General features: G+C 36.5%; 1 protein-coding gene across 18 annotated transcripts in view; it reads right to left on the bottom strand.

Moving 5' to 3' along the window:
• RYR2 (ryanodine receptor 2) overlaps positions 1-24,673 on the bottom strand; it is a 791,805-nt gene that overhangs the window by 165,158 nt on the left and 601,974 nt on the right. For 17 of the 18 annotated variants that reach the window (XR_007062490.1, XM_006711802.4, XM_006711804.4 and 14 more), the window contains 10 exons: positions 20,218-20,387; positions 18,734-18,954; positions 17,330-17,420; positions 14,417-14,557; positions 12,847-13,010; positions 10,809-10,887; positions 8,757-8,846; positions 7,884-8,021; positions 2,242-2,319; positions 873-948 (listed from right to left, as the gene is read on the bottom strand). Coding sequence is in view for 16 of the 18 variants with exons in the window: in XM_006711802.4 (XP_006711865.1) it covers positions 873-948; positions 2,242-2,319; positions 7,884-8,021; positions 8,757-8,846; positions 10,809-10,887; positions 12,847-13,010; positions 14,417-14,557; positions 17,330-17,420; positions 18,734-18,954; positions 20,218-20,387 (1,248 nt within the window). In the remaining 2 variants the exon portion in view is untranslated. Of the gene's footprint in view, positions 1-872; positions 949-2,241; positions 2,320-7,883; positions 8,022-8,755; positions 8,847-10,808; positions 10,888-12,779; positions 13,011-14,416; positions 14,558-17,329; positions 17,421-18,733; positions 18,955-20,217; positions 20,388-24,673 lie in introns of those variants that run through there. The other variant, XR_002957299.2, reaches the window with a different exon arrangement.

Raw genomic sequence — 24,673 nt, 5'->3', positions numbered from 1 at the left:
ATTTGTGTTACTCTGTTTCCTAGTGCTTGGTGCCAGGTACCATCCTTCCATATCACAGCTTTACCTTTCACCATGAAATATCCCCACTTTCAAAATCTTCTCCCCTTCTACATTTTCACCTAGTCAAATAAATAAAAAGTAGAAGCTTTATTGGCACCTGTAACTATACAATAAGGATTACAAAAGAAATAAATGTTGTGGCCCTGAGCTCGAAAATAGTATATTCCTATCAGGGGAAAGAAAACCATATAGGAAGTCATTAACGACAGCGCATATGCGCGCACACACACAGACACCACATTATAAACAATATGTGTATAGACTAACGGCAAATAAATAATGTTGAAAGATATCATCAGCATAGCATACGTTAAACTGAAGAAAATATGCAAATAAATTTTAAAAGACTTGAGAAATAACTAAGAGAACATTAGTTCATTTAGTATTTGAATAAAAAAACGGGAAAAGTGCAAGCAAAAGCATGTAAGAGACAGTAACATAGCTGGACCAGACAAAAGAGGCTGAGATAGGAAATAAAAAGGGGTGAGATAGGAGATATTTAAGTTGGGGAAGAGAGTCAGGGAGGGAAGTCTAAGTCATTCATAGAACAACTCAGATATCAGGATGAGAAGTACAGAAGTCTGTAAGCTAAAATGGGTAAAAGAAAGCTGTCAAAATTCTGAGACACAAGAAAATATATACTAGCCACTAGGAAATTACAGCATTTCCAACTTCAATCTGTTACAGGCACAATTAAACCGTTCTGATTTTAAAAAGTTATAATAAGCTGTTGTGCTGAAGACGACTTCATCCATACACTCATGGAATTGAGCTCAGATTATTTTTTAATAAACGTTTTTAGAAAATATTACCTTTGGACTCCAACTCCATTTTCTTTTTCTTTGCCCATATATTATGGTAGTTTTCAGCCATCATTTCTGCCATAGCCTTAAATGAACAAAAATATTTATCGTTTCAATAAGTAAAAAAGGATAATATTGCTTTCTAATATATAATATTAGATACCGTAAAGGAATAACTCATACAGTATTAGTGCTATGATACATTTAAAAGATATCAAACACTCTTCTTTAGAATGTGAATCCCAGAGAATTGTAAGGATTTGCAATATTATACAGTAACTAAACAGCAAATGAAAATGGTCATTGTTATTCATAATGTTTGAAGACATTAATTCAATAATGAAACCAAAATAGCTATGGACTTCAGAAAAACTATTTGTATTTACAAGTTCTTGTTTTAATTTCCAAAGCCTTAAAAATGACCTAAACCTTATGCAACTTGAATATGGAGAATGTTAGATGGACAGTCAAAGATTTGATTTCTAAATCAATCTCTGTCCAAACTAGGTGAGAGACCTTAGACTAGCCAAGTTAATCTTTCTGTGACCTTTTGGGTTTTGATAAGATTACCTCCCGGATTCTTTCTACATTTGATTTTCAAGTTTACTGTGTCATTTTAATACGTTCATATGGGAGCAATAACAAATGGCAAACCAAACAATTTAACAATATGTAAATTTTATATTTACGGTCCTTATTTCTCTTGGAACAATACAGTTACCAACAATGCTAATATGTTATTTGAACACCATATTGACCTATTAACTTTATGTCTCAAGGCAATAAATTTTATCTTACTTTCAAATCTGCTATTTCAAAGTAGGTTCCTTGGTGACAAAAAAGAACAGATGAGACTATGAATGGAGCAAGCAAATGCAATCAATGTCTCTGGAAAAACTTAAAAGAAGGTGGCCCTTGCACAGAGCATTATTAACTATTTACTTTCTTCTCACACACAACTATTTAACATAGAGATTTTTAAATGGCTATTAAAGGAAAATATGTTATACGGCTGAAACACCCTAGAAAAAGTTGTATCAACTTTTTTTTTTTTCTTTGAGAGGGAGTCTCACTCTGTCACTCAGGCTGGAGTGCAGTGGTGTGATCTCAGCTCACTGCAACCTCTGCCTCCCAGGTCCAAGCGATTCTCCTGCCTCAGCTTCCCAAGTAGCTGGGACTATAGGCACGTGCCACCACACCCAGCTATCAATTTTGATAGCATTAAAAAATTAGAGTATATAATCTATAAATTCCATGGATCCATTATAGATCGCCACATTCAAATAAACCATGCTGCCAAATATATGCAGGAAAGCATTACATTATGCTTCTTAAAAATTAAATTTGGAGACTATTTTTAAAAGTTAATAGTACTTACATGCAGGTCTCTAGATAGTGTAACATTGCTCATGTCAATGGCCCGGGGACTGTAACCATGGGCAGCGTCCACAGAAACCTAGATCATTTGTGTGAAAAAACAGTGCCTCATTAAAAACCTTGTGAAGAGAGACTTAACTTATACTTTAAAAATATGGCACAAATTTCCAAACATAGTGTTTCCTTAGATAAAACTGGCAAGTTTCTATACAAAATGATGTTGTAAACACATCTCGCACATTAAAATTATATTTGGGTGTCTGAAAATGATTTATGATTGATAATTCTGAAAATTGCCTATCGGAATTTGATGTATTGTGCAATGAATCCAAAATTCTGAAACATTATCTTATGCAGAGGATCATTACATTTTTGAGTTTCTTACAAATCCAAATTGGCTGCAATGAAATTTACTCTTCCTCACGCAAGCAAGAGTTAATCAAAGACGTCAATATTTACAAATGTCTTGATGGGTCAAATGTTAGGATAAAGTATAACCAACTTTTAAATTATCATAGTATATCATATAGTATTCAGCAATGCACTTGGAAATCCTCGAGGAAGAGACTTCTTTAATTTCTGAATTAAAGCTTTTAAAAAATGAAATATACCTCTTTATCAATTTTAAGGAAGTTTCACTAACCATCCTGGGCACTTACCTCCTTCCACCCAATGGCATGTTATGTGAAAGTGTACCACAGAAATGAGCTCTGGTTCCTGCTTATAAATCTAAAACTATATCTTGATATTTTCCATAATTATGTATATTCTCTCATTAAAAATGCCCAAAAAGCAAACTAAAAACAAAATGAAAATATAGCTCATTATCATGCTTGTGAAATAAAAGTGAGTGTTACATATGCTATAACTAATAACAGGCTCATGAGCGATACTTAACTTACGGGTCAGTTTTGACAGCACCCTGGCTTCTGTGCCTTTCACCATGAGGACACTGTTCAAACCTTGTTCAAAGAAGGCAAACACCATGGTGGAATGAATCCAGCTTTCTCTGTACCTCACTGCTGTTTTTTGAGCATCCCGTTTTATCTATAAACATTATCCAGCCGCAGGGCAGCCCCAAACTCTCACTGAACCTGTCCTGGTTTCAGGGACTGCCACTGGTTCTTTGTTCAATTAAACTCTGTTAAATTTAATTTGTCTGAAGTTTTCCTTTTTTTTTTTTTTTTTTTTTTGAGACAGAGTCTCGCTCTGTCACCAGGCTGGAGTGCAGTGGCACGATCTTGACTCGCTGCAACCTCTGCCTCCCAGGTTCAAGCGATTCTCCTGCCTCAGCCTCCCGAGTAGCTGGGATTACAGGCACGCATCTCTGTCACCAGCTAATTTTCATATTTTTAGTAGAGACGGGGTTTCACCATATTGGGCAGGATGGTCTCAAACTCCTGACCTTGTGATCCACCCGCCTCGGCCTCCCAAAGTGCTGGGATTACAGGTGTGAGCCACCATGCCCGGCCTGGAGTTTTTCTTTTAATATGCTAAATAGGCCACCAGCCTCAAAGGTTGGTATGAAACTAGGTAATGGATGTAAAATCCTTAGCAAAGTGCCTGACACAAAGAAATGGATCAGGAATTTTAGTAAATGGCTATTCTCATTGTTAGTATACTATCATTATCACTACTACCACCATAACTGCTATCAACACCATAGTTCCCATACAGTTGTAGTGAGGAGTGGGTGAACATATTTGGGAGTCATAATTTTGCCCACCACAACATATAAAATCAAAGTCATTATTCTCTCCTTGCTGTCCCCAGCACTCCTATGGTCTTTACCTCACCTAACACAGCTATTGATTTGGGGACACAAGCTAGAATCCATGGCAACCATCTCGGGTTACTCCCCTTCATCCATTATTATGTCTATGTCCCCACCCAAATCTCCTCTTGAATTGTAGCTCCCATAATTCCCTCATATTGTCGGGGGTACCCAGTGGGAGATAACTGAATCATAGGGGCATTTTCCTCCATACTGTTCTTGTGGTAGTGAATAAGTCTCACAAGATCTGGTGGTTTCATAAGGGGAAACCCCTCTCACTTGGTTCCTCATTCTTCTCGTCTACCACCATGTGAGATGTGCCTGTTACCTTCCACCATGAGTGTGAGGCCTCCGCAGCCACGTGGAACTGTGAGTCCATTGAACCTCTTTCTTTTGAAATTTGCCCAGTTTCAAGTATGTTGTTTATTTCCCCCATTAGAATGTAAGCTCCTTGACAGCAGAGATTTTTTTCCATTTCATCACTGATCTATTTGAAAAGCTTAGAACAATGCAGCATACATAATAGGTGCTCAATAAGTATCTGTTGAAGGAATGAATGCACCATTCCTCTATCCTATCTTGTATTTTAGTTCTAGATAAGAAACACATTCCAAAAGTTTCATTCTAATCTCCATTCCCCTTCCGGGTTATAAGCTTATTTTTCATTTGTTTTAAATAGTTTTTGTCCTACATGTGTAGTACTGAAAAACAGATACAAGGTAAGAAATTGGAATTTGGGAGTAAATAATTGTTGAAAACCTGTGGGATATGCCTGAAATTGTCAGAAATGTTTTTTGCTGTTTTCTTTAGTATCCCTACCAAGGAGGGGGTCAAAACCCACCCAGTTAACCCCTCTCCAATCAGCTTCTTGTAACTTTGATCAGCCCTTATATACTCTATTGTATATTCTGTCAAGTTGATACTGGTATTATTCATGTCCTTAAGTTTGTCTTACATATGCAAATTATAAAACCCTAAGTGGACAGTAAATTTCCTGAAATCAGGATTCATGTCTTCCTGTGGTATTCATGGTAAACAAAGGACATTCATCAGGTTATTGATCCACATAACGATGATAACGACAAAAATTATGGCTCACCTATATTGAAATATATGCCAGTTATTCTTTTAAGTGATTGACAAGCATCATAACCAGAACACTCACAACATTCTTTCAAAGCCGATGCTCATACCAGCTTCATTTTAAAAATGAGAAAACTGCAGCATACAGAGGTTAACCAGTTTACCCAAGCTCACGATACCAGCTAGGTACTCATGGGTGAGACCAGAATGTCACCCCAGGCTTGGCTGTGCCAGATACTGCCGTTAACCATGGGCCACTTGTGTGTCCCTGAGGGAGTGCTAAGCCCCAGTGAAAAAAAGCTGAGGAATTCAGGCTCAGAATCACATCTACACATGATCTTCACTCATCCATTTGTATTCCTTTTATAAAATGATGCTATAAAAAGTGTTCCTTTAGTCAGAAGAGTTTATACATGATAGAAAATTGCTTTATAATCACATAGGAAATCAGTAACATAAAAAAAGACGAAGAGGTTTAACAAGATGACAGTCAAAAAAGAAAATGCTATAAGGCAAGTAACGGAGAAACGACAATCTATGTTAATATTTCAAATAATATTGGTTTATGCTTAAAGAACCTTTGGGTGAAAATAATGGCAAGTTATAAATAGACTTGTGGCCTTTGGTGTATATTGCTCCCCATTTCTGAGGCTTATAGAAATATTCTTTCTTTCCCACCTACAGGCCAAAGTGCTACAAACACAAATATACTCTTTCATTTACCACTAATGAGATGCTCTCAACAAATGCCCTCCACAGAAATATTGACATAACAATAGTAACAATAAGAATTCACACTTAATGAGGCAAACAGAGATCAAGTACACAAAGGTACATCTTTAGAAAGTAGCACTACCAGGATTTAAGCCCAAGTGGTGAAATTCCATAGCCCTTCCTCTTATCTCATAAACTGTGCCTCTGGCACAAGCATCGCCTAATATTTTGAAATCGCATATGAAATTTAAGAATGAATTTCAAAAATCACATGTCACCGTGAAAATCACTAAGACATGAGAGATGGTTTCACGGGTTAATAGGGTCTATTAAGGGCTTACTATTAGAACAAAAAGGAGAAAGAGAAAGAGGAGTGATATAAAATATACATGATTTTAAATTAGAGTACATAATTTTTGTTATTAAGGGCAGTGGGAGAATCTACCTTATTTTTCATGAAGCCTAAAGTCACCTCCATTTGTAGTAATTTCTTATTTCTTATCTACCTGACAGAATAATTAAAAAAAAAAACATCCCTTTCTCTATACTGTGTAGTGCCTTATTCATACCACTAGTCCCACCCTTACCATACCATGTTGTAGTAGATTTAACTTGACCTTATCTAACACTATTTTATGACTTTTAGGATTAGAATTGTCTTGCTATCTTTGTATTCTTATTATCTAGTACGCAGTTTGTGCTCAGCATTTGTTGAAACAGATTAAAATAAAAGCTAATCTACTTAGAAAAGTACACAGACAAAAAAATAGATAAAATACACTTTTATAGCTTCCATCCATATATGATACATCCCAAAGACAATTGAATGTAAAGTATGCCCAAATCAGAACTCAATTTATTTAAAATTAAAATTTGACCAAGGTCAAATTTATTTAAAAGTATATTTCAAATATGGAGCATGTGAAGCACATGCTGTTAGACCCTCATTTTTTTTTCAAAAATGATATTTGTGTAAATAGCAATAATAAACAATATTTGGTGTAAACCACATACATAGTGAGCTGAGGGGTCAGGAAAAGAATAATGACAGATTTAGCTCCCAGGAGAAATGAGGGGGTCAAAGGTAAGCAGCTCACATGACCTCGTGACTAAATGTTAACGGGTGGTATTTGGTGTCCTCCCTGAACTCTAGCTTTTCCACATCAAGGCTGTGCCTTACTCTTGCCACCTTGAGCACCGAAGACCTATGGGTAGAGCCTTGCTTGTTTGTCGAACTCCCTTGACATGGTCCAGCAGCAACATCTTCTGTGAATTCTTGCTCTGCCTGTGTGGCTGTATACCTTCCCTCTGCAGACAGGAGCGCCCTTGTGCCTTCTAAATCTGGATCATGACTGTCTGAACACCCTACTCTTTCCTAAGAATCAACCCTCAGATCCCACTGGAAATGAGAAGAAAGCCCTATAGACAAACTAGCTGTAGCAAACGAACATGATGTACTGTTTTCATTAGGAAAACTTCAGGACCTTACAACTGGTTACTTCTTCTTCTTCTTTTAAATTTTTTATTATACTTTAAGTTCTGGGGTACATGTGCAGAACGTGCAGGTTTGTTACATAGGTATACACGTGCCACAATGGTTTGCTGCACCCATCAACCCGTCATCTACATTAGGTATTTCTCTTAATGCTATCCCTCCCCTAGCCCCCCACTCCCTGACAGGCCCCGGTGTGTGATGTTCCCCTTCCTCTGTCCATGTGTTTTCATTGTTCAGCTTCCACTTATGAGTGAGAACATGCGGTGTTTGGTTTTCTGTTCCTGTGTTAGTTTGCTGAGAATGATGGTTTCCAGCTTCATCCATGTCCTACAACTGGTTACTTCTTCTATACTAGCCAGGAAAAGGAAGGCTTGTACATAAAGTCCAGTAACTTAATCATCATTTAACCTCCTTTGAAACTAAAAAAAATATATATATAGCTTTTTTCTCTCCCTTCTAAATTTTGTGACTCTTCAGAATTTTCAGATTATTCTTTAGAAAAACTCAATAATTAAATTTAAAAAATTATTTAATCCATAACATAAACAGTTGATTCATCACCGTGATGAATTCTTACCTGGCTTGTCTGAGAAATACGACGAGTCCGGTTGTAAAGGGCCATGCTGTCTCCCTCCCGAGTTCTTTCAATTCTCCAGCCCCAAGCCAGCATAGTTTTTAAAGATTCTTTGATTGGCCAGCGATAAATTTCTTTTTCCTAGAGAAGAAAAAACAAGAAACAACAGATATATTATGAATGTAAATAAAAATGTTAAGTAACGCTTTGCTCTAAAATAGACTGCCTTCACTTTTTAAAAATTTGATGAGCATAGCTTATTTAAAAATATAAAAAGGAAAGTAAAATTCTGAAAAGCAGAGTGTGAGCAGAGATCTAGTTTTACTAATGTTAGTAAGAGGGATCCTCGCTTTGTTCATTATATAGCACCAAGGTCAATTTCCTTTAGCAACCCGGTTCCTAGGACCTTACACAGAAAAAAGGGACAGCTTATGTAATATACATGTGACTCACAATGAAGTGAAATCCTTTTCACTTCATTTGTCAAGATACTCATTTCTTTCCCAAAGAAGTAAAATATATGAAAATCTATACATAATAAGCACATTATTACTTTGTCATCACTCATCAAGAAACTCTTAAGCATGATAAGAAGATTTTTTAAAGTACTTAAAAATATGGGAGAGGAATAAAAACCAAAAAGGAAAAGAAAAATGTTAAGGAGAGAAGAGAATAAACACAGAAAGGCTGACAGAAATTAAGAATTGAGAGGAAAAGACAAAATATAAGAAGGTTTTTTTTTTAAACGGGACCTTTGGAAGAAAAAATGTGAAATTTAAAATAAAGAAGACATTTTAATATAAAAAATATAACCAAAAAACACATTTTTCAAAAGAATAAAAACTTTACAAACTAAAACAAACAAAAAATCCTTACCTTTTCAGACAATAGCTTATATGGCTTCATTAATGGCTGAACCTTAGAAGAGTCTGAATATATTTCTCCATAAATCCATCCATTTGCCAACTTAAAAAAAGGCAAACATTAAAAATTGTTTTACACGTGTTAATTTTAGAGATTGTAGATATGCAGGTGTTTAAGTGCGTGTTTGATAAAATAAACCTAAAATGAACTAAGGTAAGGGTTAAGATTGAAATTTTATCCAGCATAAGTCACTATAAAGATATTCAATGCTATTTTCTTTTATTTTAAATTTCAGATTCAGGGAGTAAATGTGCAGTTTTGTTACATGGACATATTGCATGATGTATTTTCAGTAATCATCTGGAACAAGTCTTTTATCTAGAGATTAGAAGCACTTGATCTTCCTTAAACAGACCAAGGTCTTATAATTGTGCCAATAAGCATTCCCACAGGAGGAGGCTAGAGGGATGCATGGTCCCAAGGATATTTATTCTGACCCATCTTGGGACCCCACCTATGAAGTGTAAATACAAAACATGCATTTTAAATAGGAAAACTAGAGTATGCATCTCAGCGTCTTCTCTGAATAATGCCACCTGTTTTACCCATTCTTTCATCAAATTTTCTCTCAACACATTCATTCCATATTATTTTGCCCATCTGTACATATCACCATTTCCCTATATAATTTCTTGTCTGCCTACAGAATCTGAGTAATTAGACTGGAAAACCTTCCTGTAATATTCCTCTCCATCACCAACTCCACCCACTCAGTATTTAGCAGAGTTTTTATATAAGATAGATCCTTACTGACTTACCTAGTAAATCAATTACTGAATGAAGAACCAGATACTTATCAAAACCAACAAAAAAGGGTTTCTTAGAGGGACCGAAAGACTGGCTGGCCAGGGCAGAGTTTGAAACTCAACATGACATCTCCAGCATGATGATCTTTATTTGTTACGTAGCATACACATCCTCTGGAAGCAACCTTTGGTGTCTGATTTTCATTTCGCCAAACCAATATAGAAGTATTTTAGTTCTTGAACTATCTCAACTCAACTCCTCTGATGAACCTACTTTATCCTCTGTCAAGTTTAGACTAAGCTCAACTTAAACATGAACCTGTAGGCATAAGATTTCCTTTAGAAAACTTATAATATGTAGAAATTATCTCATAGATGCAGCTACTTTAGTTTTCTCATTTCTGTTGTTTTTCTTGAAAACACACAAAAAAATCACCTGGCCGATGTAATCTATTTTTAGTAAACTGCAGATCTAGTTGGTAGTAAGAAATACAACAGAAGAATAGAAAAGGTAAATAATTGTTAAATCCTGATTAAGAATTTTCAAGATTTTATCTGATATAGAACTACATATAAAACCTGGCCAGGCATGGTGGCTCATGCCTGTAATCTCAGCAGTTTGGGAGGCTGAGGCTGGCTGAACAACTGCTTGAGGCCAACAACAGTTGGAGACCAGCCTGGGCAACATAGCAAGATCTCATCTCTATAAAAAATATTAACAATTAGCAAGGTATGGTGGTGTGCACCTGTAGTCCCAACTACTCAGGCGGTTGAGGCAGGAGGATTGCTCGAGCCCGGTAGTTCCAGGCTGCAGTGAGGTATGATCACACCACTGCACTCCAGCCTGGGCAGCAGAGCAGGACTCAAAAAATAAACCAAAAAAACCTACATATAAAACCAAAGTTTCCTTAAAAGGTGAATTCTGAACCCGGAGTCATCATTTCCTCCTGAAGCTCTTGGTGATTGTTGCTTTTTTACTCTGATAAACAATATATGTTATAGAAACTATATTTATAATTTAATGAATAGATCTTTTGAAAGCTTAAAATAGTGCTTATTCATAAGGGTATCATATTTGTGTTAATGATAGAGCTAGCTAAATATTATATTATTATATAAGCTAATTGTAATTAAGTATTTTTTCCTAATTTAGATCAAGTTCTCATTTTAAAACAGAAAACTGTCATGGTCAGAAATATTTGAACAGTGACCAGTCATTAATAATGACTACTGAATTAGAATGTAATACTCTTTTTACCTTGTCCATTGACCATTTGTCATGGGAGTGTTCTGCATATTTGTTAATGAAGTATTCCAATTTCTCAGGAATTGTAATACTATGAGAAAAGTAAAGACAAAAGAGCTTGATTTTCACAGAATTTACAGGAAATCATATTAATAATTTACTCACAGCTTATGAATGCTTATATCTCATTCAATTTTAACTGTTAAACACGACTTCTTTTTTTAGAATTACATTTTTCTATTTTCACAACAATATAAGAAAAGTCAAGCAGATAATGTTCTATCTGCTCATCTTATATTGATTCATATTTTATGTGCTAACATAACAAATTACATATTATAAAACTATAATAACAATTATTATTAAATATATAAATTGAAATAATTAAAATACATTCAAAGATTAGGACAATAGATTACACAAAAAAGAAAAAACAAGCACTAAATTTAGTAGTGATGTGTTAAAATTTTTAAATATACATGGTCCACAAATAACACTGTAAATGTTACTGGTATTAACTATAGGGAAAATAATTAACTCCTGCTTTTTGATAATATTTAATCTTGACTCCTTTTGTGTTTAAATGAATATTTAATTCCTTGATGTTGAGGACATGCAAATGATGACCAAGTCTGATGATAAATCTAAGGCTTAAAACGTATCTATGAATGGAAAATTAAATATATATACATACATACATAATTCTATTCATTAATAAATATATCTTATTAAAGTATTAACTTTGAGAATACAATTCTACATAAAATCTAGTATAAGATGGTTTGCTGTTGTTTTCCAGCAGTTAACAGTAATTGAACTATAAGACATACACATACTTAAGAAGCAATATATAAAAAATCGTAATCGTCTAGAAATCACTGATATCACCACATAAACCTGTATCTGTTAAGAAGTCCCCAAAGGGGCAAGCCTAGGTAAATTAATATCCATGCCCACACTTATTAATTAATTGGATTTAATCAACCAACACCAAAACCATGATATTGTTCTGATATTTAAAAATCTCAGATGAGATCATATGTTAGCAAACCACAAACTTACCCATGTAGGAATGTGAATATGTGATAGTTTGGTTTACTTACTTCGGAAGAGATACAAAAGATCAATCATATAAGCCAAATACTGGGGGATGGGGGAAAGGGTCTTTTCTCACAGGACTGTCATCAAAGACCAAACATGCAAATTTAAGGCATTATCAAACTAATGGCATACCACTCAGGTTGAAATTCTGATCTGGTTATGGAAGCTAAATCAGCTGGGGGCCACTCAGAAGCCTCAAAGTTGAACTCCCAAGCAAATTCAGAAGCCGTGGATAATAACTACCAAGTGTCTACCTTGCTAAAACTGATCTTGCTGAGTCACCATAGAATCAGTAAGATAAGGTGGCATGAAGAGGCAGCTTTCCTTGCACATGGAGAACCATGGTCCTACTTAAAAACAGTAACGACAACAACAAAATGCTCAGACGTCGAACACCTGAAGTTCCCAAACATCCTATTTGTAGAACAATTGGAATTTTCCATAAAAATTCTCATTTGATATTCCCTTCCATCTTGTGCTGCGTTTTATCATGCTGAACATCAGCTGTTAACCCTGGGCCTTGCTGAGATGTAGTGATGGGTGAAGGGATTCCCTTGCTACTCGCAGAAACAGCTTTGCAGTGCATGCTGGGTACATCCTAAGTAAAAGATGTTATATAGAGGTTGATTGTCGTTATTAATAAACATTTAGGGTAATTTTTCAACTAAAAATATAACTGACATACTTTCTTAATTCTATTATAGATATTCCATGTACAGAGTCTTGATTGTGTTAAGAGTATCCTAGAAGGTACATCTTATCTATTTCTGATATTAGTATAATCATTATTATTATTACTATCGTTTTATAAATTAAAGGGACCCCTATTAAAAGGATACCAATTCAAAGGGGGCATGTATTAGAGAAAGTTCACTTTAGTACCTTATTCAATTTCAGACTTCACACATCATTTACAATAAAAATCTGCTGCAATAGAAAGAGTCCATACTTTGAGGTATCAACAGGTTGTGGGTTAAAGTTCCCTTCAGAATCCATTGATGACTGTTTTTCCATCATACTGACATAATTTGACTCCATGTAGTCTGGAGGCAAAGCTCCCGCAACTGCACTCAGGCAAGGCAGTGCCAGTTTGAAAAGTTCTTGTTCATATTTCTGGGAAAAATGGAGGACCAAAAAAAAAAATTACTATATGGCAAAAGTTGTCAGCATGATCATCAGGGCTGACAGAAGGTTGCAGAAGAAAATCTGAATTACCCTGGACTAACTGAACTCTCTGATCATTCTTTTTCCAGAAAATGAAACACAGGGCCTAAAACCCCATCAAACAGAAAAGAAGCTGCAGCTAGATTTACTGAAGTTTCAGCTTAAGGAGAATAAAATCTTTGACTCTCCAACACACTGGAAATGAAGTAAACTTTAATATTGTCAATGTGTAAAATATTGTTAAGAGATAAACATAATTTCAGTCAATAGGGACTACATTCCTTATAGTTAGTTATAGATAATTCCTGTACATTATAATGACTACATATAAAAAAACATAAAGCATAACATTCTAGAGAGTGAGAAATTTTAACTGATCCATGTTGCATTATAAAGCTTTGAAAAATAAAATTCTGAGCTGGAAAAGAAATTCTATAGAAAGTATGCATGCTAAAAATTTATAGGAAGAGCTATTTATATATTAATGACAGTTAAATTTATATTTATAGATTTTCTGAAAAATAATAGTAATAATTTATTTCACTTTAAATGTTCAATGTTAAATAAATGTTGTAAATGATTCTAAAAAATACTTACACATTATTTTAAAAGGACTCAGTTTACCAAAGGAAATTCGGTAAGAAAAAGCATTAAAGTGTTGCTACCAAATGTAATTGCAGACAAATTTTCTTCTATTATGTAGCAAATTAGTGGTTATACTACTCCAATCATCTAATAATGTCAATCTGGGAATTGAAACTAATTTTGATTAATTTAAGGATGAACACACAAAACTTGTTGTTCTGCCTTTTCTCTAAGATCAACACCTGTCAGTCATCTGAAAACATATGAACTATTCATTATAAATTTTGCAACTATAAGGCAATGCCACATATGCAATGCAACATTGAGCGACGGTATCTAAATCTCCATAGCAGCAAAGCTGGAGACTTTAGCAGGGCACTGGGATATTACAATTACATAAGATTTCATGTTTTGTATTTTTATATTGGATATAATTTCTTTGGCCTTTATAAGATTGGAGATGGGACTAGGGAGAGTTTGAGTCCAAATGCACCGGAAACTTATCAACCTTGTGCATAATTTCCTGAACTGCTTAGCCATTTTATATTCAGAAACAGTGTTATGATCACAAGGAAAATGCTACCACAATGATTAAGTAAATATAAGTTGCATTTTCAACATTTGTTATGAAGTTGAGAAAAGAGAAAAAATCAAGCCATACGTGTCTTGGTTAGCAAAGATAGTATTCAACTAGGAATACTATCTTACTAAGAATGTGTGGCTCTATACCATTTTATTGATACAAACAAACCCACAAACCATTAAATTACCTTTTGAGACAGGGCATCAAAAATGCCCCAGAACAACTTTCTTGATAAATGAAGTTCTTCTTCTGAGGCAGCACCAAAGTTTCCCCACCCTCCAGGCAGGCAGTAATATTTCCAGCATCTTTCATAATGATTTGTCAGCAGCTATGTGGGAAAACAATTATAAAAGCAATGAGCTATCAAAACCTTTTATATTTTTTTTTCATTTCTCCTCATATCACACTCTAATGCTACATTATAAGGTCATCTGAAGTGAAATTGCCCAATCCCATATAAATTATCTTGGAGAATACTATCACCGTGTATACTACACGTGATGGTTAATATTGAGGGTCAACTTGATTGAATTTAAGGATGCAAAGTATTGTTCCTGGGTGTGTCTGTGAGGGGGTTGCCAAAGGAGATTAACATTTGAGTCAGTGGACTGGGAGAGGCTGACCCATTCTCAATCTGGGTGGGCACCATCTAATCAGCTGCCAGCACGGCTAGGATAAAGGCAGGCAGAAGAACCTGACTTGCCTTTATCTTCTGGCCTTTATCTTTGTCCCGTGCTGGGTGCTTCCTGCCCTCAAACATCAGACTCCAAGTCCTTCAGCTTCTGGACTCTTGGATTTACACTAGTGCTTTGCCAGGGGCTCACGGGCCTTCGGCCACAGACTGAAGGCTGCACTGTTGGCTTCCCTACTTTTGAGGTTTTGGGACTTGAACTGGCTTCCTTGCCCCTCAGCTTGCAGACGGCCTATTGTGGGACTTCACCCGGTGATCGTGTGAGTCAATACTCCTTAATAAACTCCCCTTCATATATACATCTATCCTATTAGTTCTGTCCCTCTAGAGAACCCCGGCTAAGACACTATGTCTCTTTCAAATTTAACACTGATTGCAATATGAAGACCAGACGCCCAATTTTACAAGTAACTATATCTTGAACAGGATTCTTTATGAGGTTGTTTGGATGTCTATGTATCCCTGAGTTCTACGTTAATCATTTACTAATAATTTAATGAATTGTTATTAATATCTTGGAATCTGTGTGTAAAATGAAGGGACTGATGTCAGGATGACCCAGAAGCACAATAAAGGAACTATACATCTGTGATTCTTTTTGCTCCCTCTCTGCCTCTCTATGGCTTGCCACAAAACTTACTTCTCCAAGTGAAGTTCCAAAATTGCTCTACTCTGATCACTTATTTGTCTACATTTCTTTGGTGGTTATGGATGCAATTTATTACTTTACTGATTGTCTACGTTGCTCCTTACATTTTCACCTATGCATATTGCTTGTTTAGAACTAAACTGGAAGGTCAAGGACAAGCACAGAATCTTTCAATTATTTGGTAGTTCTTTGGATAATTTATTCTTGATCTATATTTGTCAAATTAATAAAATGATCTTATGACTATACATATTTTGACCCTTTCCTATATCTAACGAAGAAAATAAATTATAAGAATTACTGTTATTAAAGTGGACTGCATGTCTTACTGTTAAAATATTACAACTCATTTACTTTCCCTTTCAGTTAAAAAAAATGGACACATACATACATCCACACAATTTAGGAGTCACAAATGATGAAATATTGAGTTCTAATTTGCTTGGCTTAACACTGACATATCTCTAATGTAAAAGAGTTTTATTGCATAAGGGTAACAGCATGAGACTGTATCTTTTTTCACGAATTTTCCAGCTCATTTGTATCAAAAAATTTTGCAAGACAAGGACTATTGAAGATGACAAAAAAACATAAAAATAGAATTTTTATCAAGGATATAATTTATTTTACCTAATTCACTAATGTATCCAGATTTATTAAACCAAAGTCAATTTTCATAGAGAAAGATTACTTTTGCTAAATATCCAGGGATGCTTACTGTAACAGCTCCATATAGACTCTTTATATCTCATACTTCTTCAGCACTAGTACTGGGTAGCCATTGGGGAAAAAATAATGCTACTAGATGGCATTGCAGAGTGGTCATCTATAAAAATCCATCACATTACTATATAACTTTGATGCAAACACTATATTCTATATTCTGAGTCTAGATTATGATATTAAAGGACAAGAAAACATTCCCAACTCAGTAAGATAGAGTGAGACTTGATCCTGAACAGAATAATAAAGTTAGAGAAAATACCAGTGATTTTTCTATGCTGTGTGACAAACTATAATTGCATATACAGAGAGGTTATCTTTGAACCCTATGAAGTGACAATTGGAACCTGTCATGTGATTATTAACTTAGAAAATGTTGTCTTTAAAGCCTCGTCTTTATCTCTCGAGGTTTCTAATAATATTTTAGGCCAGGCCTATTACCATGTTTTCCAACTTAAGAGTATCTTGGCTTATCTTTTCCCTGTGGTCCTTTTTTTCTTTTTTTGACGGAGTCTCGCTCTGTCACCCAGGCTGGAGTCAGTGGTGCGATCTCGGCTCACTGCAAGCTCCACCTCCCGGGTTCACGCCATTCTCCTGCCTCAGCCTTCCACGTAACTGGGCCTACAGGCACCCACCACCACGTCCGGCTAATTTTTTGTATTTTTTATAGAGACGGGGTTTCACCGTGTTAGCTAGGATGGTCTCGATCTCCTAACCTCGTGATCCGCCCACCTTGGCCTCCCAAAGTGCTGGGATTACAGGCGTGAGCCACCGCGCCCGGCCTGTGGTCCTTTTTTTTCAATTGATTTCTATTTCCATTGTTTCCATGGAAATCAATGTTAAGATTTCTATAATCTTATAGAAGTTGTTTATTTCAAGTTGATGTATACATTCCTATAACTTCTATGCCCATTTCAATAATTGGGAGAAATTTCCCAGCGTCAAGCATGATGTATCTAAGAAATGTATATGTTGTCATAGAAAATAAAGTCAGAGAAGCCAGTAATCAAATATCTACAAACATTTCCTATACTTACTTTAAGAGGCATCTTTGCGTGTTCATTTAATAATGGAACATCAAATACTAATCTTCTGAGTAAGTGCTGCATCATAGAAGGTCTCAGTTGTCTGTTGGAACAAAGCTAATGTTCATAATGCCAAGAAATGTTTCTAAACTAAGTAGATCATTCATTAGAATAAATTATATCAGCCAAGGACCTGAATCTATACCTCACTTCAGATGGTATTCATTAGATGTTCTTTGTCCAAAGATTAACCACTTAGTTACTTTATTTTATATAAGGTTAGATTTCCCAACTTATCTCTATCCCCTAGATCTGAAGACCACCCCTTCTTTGATACAGAAGATGTTTCTGTTCTCCTCCTTTCTTTCCTAACCACTCACAAATGCAGACTCCACTGTTTCCTAAGACTTTCCTCCATTAACTTTAGTAAATGTCTCTTCCCTCATTCCAATGGATGGTAAGAAGAAAAAGAAGAGGGAATATTGGAACAGAAAGGAGGAAAAAAAGGCTGAGACAGCAAATTTGCCAGAGAAGGAAGGGAGAGAAAATGTACACAGTGAACATCTACTGTGTCAGGCAACAGCAAGTGTTTTACCTCATGTAATACTTAGAAAATATCTGTGAGATAGGCATTTTGGTTCAATTTTACAGAATCTTAGATTAGGGAAGTTAAAGAATTACTCTTCTGATTTTCCACTTCCCTCAGTGCCATCTGGTTCTCAACCCAGACACTCCCCCATGGGTGAAAACTTGCCCTTCCCCCAGGGACTGCCAGGCTGCTGGCTGCACCTGCAAGAGTCCCTGAGCAGTTACAAATGAGCCACGATCTTTCTAGGGGCTTGAGAAATTATCACTTTCACAGGCAAAACTTCATCAGGGGGAGATACGTTTCTGGTTTTCATTGTAAGACATTCTAGCACTTCTACTTATAGGAAATGGTTTTCCAGGTTGGAGGAAATATTCAGCCTTCATCGTTGCCACACATAAATATGGTTTAATATTATGCTGTATCACATTTTATATTTAAGAAGTCCCTTTTTTCTTTTCTCTTCTAGAAGATGAGTTAAATCATCAAACACAGTCAAAAGGGGAGATCTATTCATCTCACCTAAAGTGGCCAAGGACTCCCAACACAATTACTCCCCACTCCCAACATCCAGAATAGTATTCTGTAACTGGTCAAAAGCTATATCCAACAGCTGGATACCCTAGGGAGGCTTGGAGGAACACTCTGGAACTTGACTGGGAGCAAGGGCGATCAGAGAAGACTCATACCTCAGTATATGGGACTACCTAAAATGAATTAAATTTGTGGTATGGAAAATGTTTCCAAAATTCTAAATAATTTGTCAAAGGCCACATTGTAAATTCTGTTTTTTAAAGAAGAAGCCGGAATAGAATTTGTTATCCACTCACCCACAAATAGAGAGTAAACAAACTTCTATGGAATCCCGCTGAGCTTTGGTAAGTGAACAGCCCTTAGAAAGTCTATACACAGTATGAAGTAATGAGTCAATGAGAGAAGCGTGGTGCTCTGTGCCAGCAAAGAGAGGAGCACATCTTGTTAACAATGGCAAGACGGCTGTGCAAAGGTACCGATTGAGGGCCAAGGCCATGTCTGTAGCACTCAAAGCTGCCTGAAAAAGAATCAGAGAGTAGAAGGCCATTTGTGTTTGGCAGTAGATAATCTTCAAAGGGATTAACATGGGGACATACAATTTCACTATCCGGAAGATGATAGCACTATGACACATGGAAATGTATTCTTTAGTTACATCTTTAAGTGTCGGGTTCATATGATTTTTACCACTAAAAACAATCAACTATCCATTGTTCATAAATAGATAAAAATGAATGAAATGACACCTATCTCCTCAAAAAGCTTAACAGGTTCAGACTCTATCATTAAATATCAATGGTAGGATCAATGTAAGAAGACAATAATATCACAGATGTGAGTATTTTCCTTTGCTAGGCAAAGAGAGGAGCTTATTCTCACAATAGATCTCATATGCGTAAATTCTTTCTGAATTCTCTTTATTATTCATATTTATTCTTCTCATGTCTATCAGCACCAATAACCAAAGGATAACTGTATTACTACTATGTTATCGCCCATACTATCCAGGTCCACAACGTCAGGTGAATACACAAAACAAAGAAAAAAGAAATTTTCATTTCATTTTTGTGATTCTGCTCTCATATATTTCATGAAGGGGCTACTGTCGGCTCAAGTCCTAATGTGCTTTGAAATCAAAAAAGCACATTTAATTGATAAAATTAATGAGTACATGAAAGTAGGTATTAAATATGTATAGTAGCATAACTACTACAATAACATTTAGAACTTCAGCTTATTCCACAGTGTTTCAAAGAAAAGAACATTTAAGCTGATAATGGCAGATTCTCCATGTGGGCCACCCAATATACAGAACAGCCTTCAATCCATTTGTACCTTAACAAACGAAGATACCAAGATGATACTGACTCAACAATATCCATTAAATCATCTTAATTCTTTCATTGCTTTTATTGAGAAGCATAATTGTTTAGGCCAATTTGGAAGTTGATACTGAACAGAGGTTAACAGGAGTCACTGTGACCTCCCAAATTAGAGTTATGTGAACCTCTTATTGAATCCCATATAGCACCTTATCAGAATTCTTATCATATTCTTTTTGGTCAGTGGGAAGTTTCTTGAGGTTGTCAGTTTATTCAGTGAATTCCTTGAGAACATAGCCTAGTTTATTTTCTGTTTACCCATGGCTTACCTGAAAATATAACAGGTACTCAATAAACATTCATTGTCAATAAATTAATGAATGGATATATAAAAAAGAACATCATAAGGCACAGAGTGAAGAGTCAAGAGAGGAGGAAGTCCATCGCTCCAATCTCACCGTATCTAAAGAAGCAGCCGCCCGGAGATCTGGCAGAAAGCCAACCTCAAGAAGATGGAGGAGGAAGTCTTGAACCTCAATCCCATAGACCCTGTCAAGGAATAAAACCATGGCTGCCTTGTGATCTGGGCAAAACCCCGCAGACATGTCAGGTTCCACCACATTCCCATCTAAAAGAGAGAAGTGAATTTTGGTGTCAATGGCTGTGTCATATACAGGATAGATTACAAATGGCTGCTTTCTAGACTTCTTACATTTTAAACACAGTTTTCAATGAAATGGCTTTCTGTTCTTCGACTACCCTCAAGCTATTATGGGAGTTTGCTGAGGAAATAAGGCAGTGAATGTAAAGCCAAGGTCATTTAACTGTTATATAGGCATCCACTTGTTAACTGCATACAGGATACAAGACATGGCATTGTTAGATACTTAGGAGAAACAAACAGGCATCCAAAATCTACTTTCTAAAACTCCAAGTGAAATCCATGAAAAGTGAAAATGTGAAGTGGGGATGTTCACTCTTTTCTAAGTGAGCCTGTTTTAAACATGAATAAAGCTCATCTACCTTTATGTGATAATCTTGGTATATTTACATTTTCACGTCTTAGAACAATAACGAAATGATGAAATGACACTATAAAACCAGTATGGCTTTCATATGAAATATGTTTCATTAATCATAATAGCATTTAACGTGCATTTAAGGGTCATATTGCTTTCTCTATCAACACTTAAAGCTTTATGCCTATAGAGATTAGTGAATTCCTTATAGTCACTCCGTAGGTTCCCTAATTGGGGACCGCTGATATGAGAAATCATGGGATTATGTGCCAATTTCAAATACTGAAGAATTTATTTACTTCCTGTTTGACCACATGATAATTACGCCAAACTGGTGCTGACCACACACTGTACTCTTCTACAAATACTATCACAGAAATTTTCATATGGATACAACATCAAAGAAATAAGAACTCAGAGAAAGAAGACACATGACCACAATCATCCTGAATAAACTGATGAATAAAATGACAACTTTTCTGTTTCCACGTATAGTCAATGAAAAAATTTTATATGTGAATCATGAAAACAAACAAATAATGTTCTAAAGGAAACTAGATGAAAGGATAATGCCTGGTAGTATTCGTTCCTTATAATTATAACACCCAATATAACTAATACATTCCTTTCCTTACATTATAAGAATAATAGTTCTGATGTGTTGTGCTGTTGTCGGGTACTGCACTAGGAATGTTACTGACACGATCTTACACAATTCCCACAACCCAACTGTGAGGCTGCTATCATGACTCTTATTCAATGAATGACGAAAACTAGCCTTTAGAGAAGTAACTAGTCCAAGGTCACATACCTAGTAACTGACAGAGTTGTATTTAAACCAACTAAAACTGGATTTAAAATCCAGCCAAAGCTGACTTAACCTTAGTGTCAAATCAGTATATTATGATTTTCAATTAAAAATCTATATAAAATTCAATTTCAATTCTCCTAAAAATCGCATTAAAAAGGAATTTAAATGTACAGTGTTCTATTATCTTAAACCGTAGCTGTGCCTAGGGAAAAAGGGAGAAGCTCACCGATCCTGCTCTATATGCTTTGCTTTTTAAGCTCTTATCCAAGCAGACATTGTTTCTAATGAATGCCACAAATGCATCTGCCTGTAACTCAAGACTCACGGATTGGCTCAAGTTGCTGTTTTATTTGCACCATCTCCTCAAACACACTGGAGACAACAGAGCAGCAGTGTCACCCCGCAGTGCCTGCTGTATACATCCACCCGCAATTACCAGCAGTGCCTGCTGTATTCATCCACCCACAATTACTGCCTCAGACAGGGCGGCCAAATCAGTCTGGGCCAAGAGCTGCAAGATTATGTGCTTGTTCCTCAAGTTTTCTGAACCCCTCCTTCTTTCATTATTATTCTGAGGCATACTCTAGCTTGGAAATAAATATGATAAAAATGTCTGAGGAAGACCCTAGCTAATCCTGAGAAGGGAAAATATCATTCTTTAGAGACAAACTTCACATACTAAATATGGAATGTATAATAACCATTATTACTGCTACTTGGTGATGCTTATAGACCAATTGAGTTGTCATTGAAAAGGAGAAAGAAATATTGGTGGTTGAAGCTCTGCAGTGAATGCACAGCCACATAAAGTTAAATGCACAGCTATGGTGACATAAAAACCTACAGGTTTCTGTCTACATTCTCCACAAAAGGAAAGCAGTAAAAAAAAAAATTTTTTTTTGAGACAGAGTCTTGCTCTGCTGCCCAAGCTGGAGTGCAGTGGCACGGCCGTGGCTCACTGCAACCTCCGTCTCCCAGGTTCAAGTGATTCTCCTGCCTCAGACTCCTGAGTAGCTGGGACTACAGGCGTGCACCACCACACCTGGCTGAAAAAAGCAGAGATTTGGCCGGGCACGGTGGCTCACACCTGTAATCCCAGCACTTTGGGAGGCCGAGATGTGCCGATCACGAGGTCAGGAGATCGAGACCATCCTGGCTAACATGGTGAAACCCCGTGTCTACGAAAAATACAAAAGAATTAGCCGGGCATAGTGGCGGGCGCCTGTAGTCCCAGCTACTCGGGAGGCTGAAGCAGGAGAATGGCGTGAACCCGGGAGGCGGAGCTTGCAGTGAGCCAAGACTGCGCCACTGCATTCCAGCCTGGGCGACAGAGTGAGACTCCGTCTCAAAAAAAAAAAAGCAAAAAAAAAAAAGCAGAGATCTAACAAATACCAATGGATTGTGTTGTTAAAAGTTAACTTTCATTGTGACTGATACAAAATTCACAAACACACACACAAACCACTGTGACTCCCGATGTAGACAATATACTGCATATATTTGAAGAAAAATAACATATTAGAGCACAACTAACTACAAAAGGAAAGAAAGCAACTTGAAAACTCTTGAAGGCTGCTAAAGGCAGATGACTGGAGGAAACGAGGAGGTACCTGGAAACTTTGGGGCCCATTCTGTAAAGGACCCCTGGGCTCTCTTACAATCTATGTTCTTGGTTCTTTGTTATTATGTTATTACAAAATTTAATGCTTCCCTATTTCCTAATCTGTATGTCACTGGTACTATTATTATCTTTGTCCTGATAGTGTCTATTTTGTGGCTCAAAGTATAGAGTAAAGAAAAGATATTTTCCTTAAGCAAATGAAAATGAGTTAGAAGAGAGGTACAGAGACAGCAAAGGAAGATGAGCTACAGATGCACAAGGAGAAGAAACTGTCTCAAATGGGGAAGCCAAAGGCGGGGAAGATTTTTAATTTCTAGCTTTGCCTAAAGCTATAATGGGCGTTCAATTATTATGGTAGTTTTGCCACCTTGTAGATTTGGGTTTGTAAGGTTAGCATACATGAAGCTTTACTTTCTCATAATCATGACTGGCAAACAGGATGAGCTACCTTCAGGTATATGGTGACCCCTTTCATTCTAGACTTGAGCTATTATAGCCTGCCTTCTCTAGGGGCATAATTAATGAAAGAAAAGGAATATATATAGCATGCACTTCCTGCCTAATTATGTTTTTTGTTTGTTTGTTTGAGACAGAGTTTCGCTCTTTCACTCAGGCTGGAATGAAGTGGTGCAATCTCGGCTCACTGCAACCTCCCCACTGCCCCGGGTTCAAGCGATTCTCCTGCCTCGGCCTCCTGAGTAGCTGGGATTACAAATGCCCACCACCATGCTTGTTTAACTTTTGTATTTTTAGTAGAGATGGGGTTTTGCCATGTTGTCCAGGCTGGTCTCGAACTCCTGACCTCAGGTGATCCACCTGCCTTGGCCTCCCAAAGTGCTAGGATTACAGGCATGAGCCACTACGCCTGGCCCCTAATTATGTTTTGTTCTACAATTAGAAGTCTTTCATGTAAATGATTTATGTATAAATATCCAATAAAGTATTGAAAACTGAAAAAAAACACCTTACATTTGATAAAGTAAAAACAAAGTATAATTTGGGATTTAACACTTATTTTAGTTGTCTTCAATAACTTCTTTAATCTTGAAAAACATTTTCTCCTTACTCATGAAAAGAACACTTCTTTTTGGCTAGGAGCAGTGCCTCATGCCTGTAAACCCAGCACTTTGGGAGGCTGAGGCAGGCGGATCGTGAGGTCAGGAGGTCGAGACCATCCTGGCTAACATGGTGAAACCCTGTCTCTACAAAAAATGCAAAAAATTAGCCCAACGTGGTGACACATGCCTGTAGTCCCTGCTACTTGGGAGGCTGAGGCAGGAGGATTGCTTGAACCTGTGAGGCAGAGATTGCAGTGAGCCAAGATCGCGCCACTGCACTCCAGCCTGGGTGACGGAGTGAGACTCCATCTCAAAAAAAACAAAAAACCAAAAAAACAACAAACACTCTTTTTAACAGAGAGGGGATTTTAAAATCTCTAAGTCAAAAGCTATCATCAGTGCTTT

This window comes from Homo sapiens, chromosome 1 (genome assembly GCF_000001405.40).
Source record: "Homo sapiens chromosome 1, GRCh38.p14 Primary Assembly".
NCBI lineage: Eukaryota > Metazoa > Chordata > Mammalia > Primates > Hominidae > Homo > Homo sapiens.
This window is presented reverse-complemented; position numbering and strand designations above follow the sequence as displayed.